We start from the raw sequence: 7,492 nt of genomic DNA, 5'->3' as shown, positions 1-7,492 counted from the left end.
AATGCAAGTTGTAAAATGGAAGGGCTTGCAGGGAATTTATTTACTATCAGGGAAGACCTATAATCGAAAAGAAAAATTTTATATCTCCTGTAAGTAGGACTTTCAGTAGATGAGGGGATGCAGAGACAGAAGAGCGAATGACAGAAAAAGAAATTCCCAGGTGGAAACATCTGGGAAGACAGGACGGGTGTGGTTCCTCAGAAGCTCACCATTCCTCGGGAGAGAGAACCCACAGCGAGGTGTGACAAGAGGCCTCAAATGGCCCAGCTGTGAGCCTGGGGGACCTTCTCTGCAGAGCCAGCAAGGAGGATGTGCAACCCCCAGCTGTCTCTCTGTTCCTGGCAGTCATGACTCCAGCTGCCTGGCCGACAGCCTCTGTCAGTTGCAAGGCCAGTGGTTGGGTTGTTGGTCAGTGGTGCTGTGTCCTTAGGCCAGAGGAACCAGACTTTCTGGGTAGAACTTACCTCACTGCTCACCCCGTGGAGCTCCCAATGAAACACCGGTAAATCCCACAAGGCACACAGAGTTTTGGACAAGGTGAGTTGAACTTTTTTTTTTCCTTTCAGAAACAGTGTCTCGCTCTGTCACCCAGGCTGGAGTGCAGTGGCGTGGTCACAGCTCACTGCAGCCTCAACCCCCTGGGCTCAAGCGATCCTCCCACTTCAGCCTCCTGAGTAGCTGGGATCACAGGTACTCTTTCCCCTGCTCAAGGTGGCCTGCTCAGGGCTTTCCTGCCTCCAAGGCACTGTGGCAAGACAACCAAGCTTTGGTGTTCAGCAGTCTAAGCTCACTGAGGGAACCAGGGTGGGGAGGGCCTGCCCCTGCGGAAAGTGCGGGGAGTAAGGCTGTGCGCCAAGGCAGTGGTGCCCCAGGGAGTGGGATTCTGGACTGGAGTTTCCAGCCTCTCGCAAGGTTGCTGGGCCCCGGCTGGAAGCAGAGGGGAGACCTGAAGGACCCCAGTGCCAGTGCACGGTGGGCATCTCAGCAGCACCTGGTGTGGAACCAAGAAAGACCCAGACCCAGCAGGGGGTGGAGGCTCAAGAACAGCAGCGGCTGCATTTCCCGCCTCCCGGTGAGACTGATGTGCGAAGCCAGAGTAAAGTGGATTTCCAGAAAATCTCCAAAAATACTTCTGACGCCCAGGAGATAATAGACTGAGATTCATACTAAAAATACACAGAGATCATGCCATGTGAAAGAAGCCAAATTCAAAAGGCTACACACGACATGATTTCCTTTAATGACATTCCAGAAAAGACAAAGTGTGGCGGCCCCATAAACAGAGCAGGCTTAGCCAGGTCAGGGAGGAATCGTCTACCAAGAGGCACAAGGGAATTGGGGGGCTGGAATTTTTCCATCTTGAGTGTAAAGGTGGTTTCATGACCCTATGTGTTTGTCAACACTGAACTCAGACCTACACATTAAAAGGGTGAATTTTAATATACGCAAATTGTGCCTCAGGAAACCTGTCTTTAAAAAACTCGATTGAACAAAAGGATTTTATGGAAAAATGTATTTATTGTGCAGGCATTTTACAAACCTTCCCATCTCATTTGAACAGCAACCATGTAAAAATGTGTGGCAAAAATATAGAAATTATTTGTAATTGTGTGGAAAACACAGTTTAACTTGCATTATTACCTCTGATGAGGGGCAGGTGTGTGGGGAGGGACTTTCCATTTTTATTAAGTGTCTTTCTACATTTGACTTTGGACAAAGAGCTGAGGTTGCTTTCAATTATGAAAACAAATAAAACAAGGCCGGGCATGGTGGCTCAGGCCTGTAATCCCAGCACTTTCGGAGGCCGAGGCACACGGGTCACTTGAGGCCAGGAGTTTGAGACCAGCCTGGGCAACATGGCAGAACCTCCTCTCTACTAAAAAATACAAAAAGTAGCCGGGTGTGGTGGCGCGGGCCTGTAATCGCCAGCTACTCCGGACGCTGAGGCAGGAGAATCGCTTGAATCTGGGAGGCAGAGGGTGCAGTGAGCCGAGATCGCGCCACTGCACTCCAGCCTGGGCGACAGAGCGAGACTCTGTCTCACAAAAGCAAAAAACAAAAACCCACAGTTCCCAGGCGCCCTCCTTACCCCCTGGCTCCTTTCCCGAGCCTCCCCAGTGTCTCCTGTAGCCAGAATAACGCCCCCGACCCATGTCCACATCCCAATCCCCAAATCCTCGCCTGGCAGCAGGGACTTGGTAGACTGAGGGGAGCTGGGGACCTGGGGGTGGGAGATTCTCCTGGGTGACGGGGCGGGCTTCCTGGAATCACACGGGTGGGAGGCGGGAGGGTCGGAGGTCAGAGTGACTGAGGCCGGGTCCCAGGGGTGCGGCACCCGCTTAGAAGCTGCAAGAGGCGGGGACAAGGATTCTCTCCAGGAGCCCTGCTGACACGGCTCTGACCTCTGACCCCTAGAGCCGTAAGATGATAAATCTGTGCTGCTTTAAGCCTGCACAGCTGTGTCATAGCGACCCAGGAAACCAGCGCAGCCTGGAGCCTCCCTGGGGCTTCGCTCCGTAGCTGCCAGGCACTGAGCCCCACTGGAATGCAGCCTGGTTTGGACGCGGTTTTCTGGGCTGAACTTAGCGCCGTCTCTAGAAGTCAACTGTATTTGCATTGCCTCTGAGTCCCCAGCACTCCTCCCCAGCACTGGTGTCTCACCCCTATGTGTGGGCGACAGGACAGCAGATACGACCTATTTTTTAAACCATTTTCTCCCATCCCCCATGCAAATCTGGCCTCACGGACCCTTTCTCTGAGGTACACCATGGCAATCCTTAAATGAGGCCTGGTTGCTGGTTTGAACACTCTACTGTAAGACATTCTTTTTGAATGGAGCTGTTTTCTTACTTTCATATTCAGATTGTTCATTGCCTGTTTGTGGAAAGACAACCGAGTTTTGTATACCGACCTCGTATCCTGCAATCCAGCTACACTCACGCATTCTAGGCGCTTTTTGTGGATTTCTTAGGGTTTTCTACATATGGGATCAAATCATCGGAAAATAAAGAACATTTTATTTATTCTTCTTTTGAAATTTGGTTACATTTATTTCTTTATTTAGCCTTATTGCACCGGCTAGACCGTCCAGTACAGTGTTAATTAGGAGTGTCGAGAGAGAACATCCGACTCGTGTTCCTGGTCTTAGGGAGCACACACTCAGTCTCTAATCATTAAGGATGAAGTCAGCTGCAAGCTTTTCACAGTTGTCCTTTACCGTTTATTTTTATTTGGTTAAGGATGTTCTTTTTCACTCCGAGTTTTTGAGAGGTTTTTTTTTTCTTTTATCATGAATAGTTCTTTAGTTTGTCCAAAAATGCTCTTTCTCTACCTATTGAGATGAATGTAAATAGAATGCGTTTTTTTTTTGCCTTTATTCTGTAAATATGGTATACAAGGAGAATTGAAGTTTGCATGTTAATTCAGTCTTGTAGTCCTGGAATGAATAACATTAGATCATGTTAATCTTTTTTATGTTTTCTGGATTTGGTTTCTAACATTTTGTTAAGAATTTCTGTATCTATGTTCAAGAGGGATAGTAGTCTATAGTTTTCTTTTCTTGTATATTTTTTGTCTGGTTTGATATCAGGATAATACTAGCTTCATAGAATGAATTGGGACATATTCCCTCCTCTTCTATTTTCTGGAAGATGCTGTGTAGAATTTGTGTTGATTTTTCTTTAAATATTTGGTAGAATTGTCCAGAGAAGCCATCTTGACCTGGAGACTTCTTTAAGTTTGATTGTAACGGTGTGGGGATAAAATTAAAATTTAATTTTCTTAATATTTATAGGGCTATTCAAAACATACATTTTATATGGTGTGAGTTTTGGCAGTTTGCATCTTTTTAGGAACATTTTTGACCCATTTCTTCTAAGTTGTCACATTTATGTATGTAGAGTTGATCACACACTTCCCTAATGTCCCTTTGATGTCCTTATGGCCTGTGGTAATGTCTGTTTTATTCCTGATCCTGGTCATTTGTGTCTTCTCTCTTCTTTTTCTGTGTCAGTCTTGCTAGAAGTTTGTCAGTTGCATTGATCTTTTCAAAGAACAAGCTCTTTCTTTCATTGCTTGTATTGATTGTTCTTCTGTTTTCAATTTCTCAGATTTCTCTTTTCTTCATATTTTCTTTTTTCTCTTTGCTTTGAGTTTATTTTGTTCTTCTTTGTCTGGGTTCTCGAGGCGGCAGCTTAGATTAATGATTTCAGATCTTTTCTAATGTGTACATTTGGTGACTTCAATTTACCTCTCATCATGCTGTGTCCCATAAATTTGGATATGCTATATTTTCATTTTTATAAGGTTTATTATATGACTTTTGATGATTTCCAGAGCATTAAAATGGTTGTTTGTCACAGTTTTGTCCAATTTTATAGTAGCTTTTTGGAGGAACAATCTGTTAACCCTCATCTGTCATTTCAGAAGTGAATCTCCCAACTTTTATTTGGCTTTAACATAACTGTAATCACAGTATACCAGTAACCTGGAATACGGATGAATTTTTAAAATTTATTTTATAAACATTTTCTTGTGTTATAGTGTTATCTTCATTAAATTATGTTAATGGCTGATTAATGTTTTATCCACTAGGTAGATGGTTGGCTTACCATTTGGACATACAGCTAATTTCACACTTTTGCTTTTATCACTGTACTCATTTCCTTCTCCAGCTTCAGCACTGCTTGGCTTCCCTCTGCAGTGCCGGCCTCCCGGCTGCTCCTCCAGCTCCAGAGCCACGGTCACTGCACAGGGTGCCAGTCCTGCTCCCGGCCCCACATGGCTGAATGTCTAGTTGCTGTTTCTTATTCTTCCCATCCTGCTGAGTGCGCACCTGAGTTCCAAGCAGTCTCAAGGGACAGAAAGGCAGGTGGTGCAGCCAGGAGAGGCAAGCACTGAGCAATGGGAAACAGAGATCAGAGGGTGGCCAGCAGCTGGCCCCCTCCATTTTCGGGGTCTGTGGTGCTCCGGGGCGTGGCTTCTTGCAGCCCTCACACCAAGTGGATGCAGGCATGGTGTGAGCTGCAGGGTGCGCAGGGCTGCGTCACTCCACATGGTCTCCTCCTCTCCCTGCCTCCAGCCCCGCACCCTCACCCTTGCTGTCCCAGGTCTGCACCTCCCAAATAAGGCACAACCACTTTCATCCTTGCCTCTGTCTCTGTTTTCAAGGGAACCCAAGCAAGGAGGTCCAGTACAAAAGAAAATATTTCTACTGAACGAATAGGCATGTACAGAGTTGAAAGGACTCAGAAAATCCTTTGCTGCTTTCCCCCTTGAGGCACCAGCCCACTGGGGCATCTGGTCTACCTTCCTCTTCTCCCATGCTTTTCAATCCCTGTGGTTCCCCGCCCCCCAACCTTTTCTTTTTGTCTTGTCCCAGGGTCTTTTGTGCTCTTCTCATACTTGGTTCATGACAGAGACTCTCAGCCAACAGTTTTCTTTCTTGAAGAAGGAGGGCTTCAAGTTCTCCAGTATATGGCAGAGGAGGGGAAGAAGAACACACTCCCACAGGAATGAGATAGCCAGGAAAGCAGTGAATCTTATTGTCATCTGCAGTGTGTTGTTTTGCTAGTACAGTCTCTGTTGTTTTCTCTCTTTTACAAAAGATCCCATTGTATTATACTCTTTGGAATGGCCCAGATCCCTTGTAGAGGGGTGGATAAGTGTTCTACCTCAAAGGCAAGGGAGGGCAGATGATCCTATCTTAGTGCATGAACAATGAAACAATTTATATCTTTGAACGTGTGGCTTTTTCCATATTTGGTATTAGCTCCTTAAGATAGAACCCCAGAAGTAAAATGATCGCATTATAACGTAGGAATATTTCCAAGCCCTTTGACACACACAACGGATTTAATCTCCAGAAGAAAGATGACATTTAAATTCTGGCACACTCATTTTTTTTTAAATGTTTGTGTCAGGAGGAGGGATTGGGAACAGAGGAGTGGGGGAGGCAATCTGGGTGGAAATTGTAGAAGGCTGTGATCAGCTAAGGCTACTTTTGTTCTCACAGGCTCTCTAAAAAGGTGACAACAAATTCTTCCTTTCTCAGAGACCTGTGGCATGAATATCCTGCCATGCACCTGGTTGGTGTTTGTTGTTGGAAATTAAGTGATCCAGGTAATGTGCATATTGCAAATATTTTAAGTCTTAAAAAGAGACTGAGAGCTCCTCATGCCTCCCCAAACACAGAAGTTCACCTGTCATCTATCTATCTATCTATCTATCTATCTATCTATCTATCTATCTATATCTCCAAGTCATAAAATAAATCTCTTTTAAAAGACTCTAAAAACTGGCAGAGATGGGGGGAAACAAGATGACAGAAAAATTAGTATATCATAGGAAGTCCAGGACCAGATGGGAGCCAAGAGTAATTTTGTTCCAGGAGGACAGAGTCAAGGACAAGAACCATGAGCAGAGGTGTCACTTTCATGATCAAGGATGCTGCCCAGAAAGCCTCGGGGAAACTGCGGTTTCTTTGATTTACCCAAAATGCCCACCATGATCTGGTCCATCCTTAATTTAATCATTTTATTCAAATTGCCTCAGATCTCAATCCTGGAAACCAATGTTAATTAAATTGGCCCATGGAATGTGTGAGGATTTTTAAGGCTGGAATGGTGATTTTTAAAGTATTAGTGGCTATTTTTGAAACTGCCAAGGGATCAACTCATTTAACCTTGGAAGAGACAGCTCATGGAAAAGAAATTAGAAACACACTAAAAGTGAAATTAAAATGCAATTGATGTCCAACCAGCAGCTTTCCTGATGTGACACATGCTGTCCTACAGTAAGTCGCACGCTCTGCTCCCCCATCCAGCTTTTAATTTCTGTGCTTAAAGAATAGAAACATTTTTTCAACCTTACTTAACTTATGAAATGTGACAAGAATGCGTTTCTGCCAAAATCAGGAGAGTGCCCTTAACATAATGAGACAACTTGATTGATCACTCTACATAATGAATAAAAATTTGCAAATTAAGAAAAAAAAAGAATTGTCATTTGTACCTGTCAGACTTGATCAAAATTAAAAGATCAGGTAACAGATCAGGTAACTGCCTCAAATACAGACTTTCCAGAATCAGTCTTAAACTTTAATACTTCTAATGGAGCAAAATGTTTTCAACAGAACTGAAACAAGGGCTTGAACAGAATTTTAAGCCAGCCTCAGTACAGGGAAGCTTCACTGGCAGTATTTTTATATGCTTATTGGCCATCTGAATTATTTTTATGTGACTTGCTTGTATGGTCTGTCTAGCTTTATGTCAGACTGTCTTTATTGATCTCTGGTTGCTTTCCTAAGCTACTGATATGGTTAGGCTTTGTGTCCCCACCCAAATCTCATCTTGAATTGTAATCCTCATAATCCCCTCATGTCAAGGGAGAGACCAGGTGGAGGTGACTGAATCATGGGGGCGGTTCCCCATGCTGTTGTTGTGATAGTGAGTTAGCTCTTAACGAGATCTGATGGTTTTATAAGGAGGTCTTC

The 7,492-nt window shown here is 44.6% G+C and overlaps 4 annotated features.

Moving 5' to 3' along the window:
* Positions 248 to 307: a silencer, noted in NCBI's record as "silent region_5519". NCBI's record gives its function as "represses an Ori minimal core promoter by ATAC-STARR-seq in GM12878 lymphoblastoid cells {active_cell/tissue: GM12878}" and the evidence as "EXISTENCE:reporter gene assay evidence [ECO:0000049][PMID:35858748]".
* Positions 1,756 to 2,294: an enhancer, noted in NCBI's record as "H3K4me1 hESC enhancer chr13:111505979-111506517 (GRCh37/hg19 assembly coordinates)". NCBI's record gives its function as "activates a minimal SCP1, AML or CMV promoter by ChIP-STARR-seq in naive H9 embryonic stem cells {active_cell/tissue: H9 hESC(naive)}" and the evidence as "EXISTENCE:reporter gene assay evidence [ECO:0000049][PMID:30033119]".
* Positions 4,433 to 4,934: an enhancer, noted in NCBI's record as "H3K4me1 hESC enhancer chr13:111503339-111503840 (GRCh37/hg19 assembly coordinates)". NCBI's record gives its function as "activates a minimal SCP1, AML or CMV promoter by ChIP-STARR-seq in primed H9 embryonic stem cells {active_cell/tissue: H9 hESC(primed)}" and the evidence as "EXISTENCE:reporter gene assay evidence [ECO:0000049][PMID:30033119]".
* Positions 4,935 to 5,438: an enhancer, noted in NCBI's record as "H3K4me1 hESC enhancer chr13:111502835-111503338 (GRCh37/hg19 assembly coordinates)". NCBI's record gives its function as "activates a minimal SCP1, AML or CMV promoter by ChIP-STARR-seq in primed H9 embryonic stem cells {active_cell/tissue: H9 hESC(primed)}" and the evidence as "EXISTENCE:reporter gene assay evidence [ECO:0000049][PMID:30033119]".

Source organism: Homo sapiens, chromosome 13 (genome assembly GCF_000001405.40).
Source record: "Homo sapiens chromosome 13, GRCh38.p14 Primary Assembly".
Lineage (NCBI taxonomy): Eukaryota > Metazoa > Chordata > Mammalia > Primates > Hominidae > Homo > Homo sapiens.
This window is presented reverse-complemented; position numbering and strand designations above follow the sequence as displayed.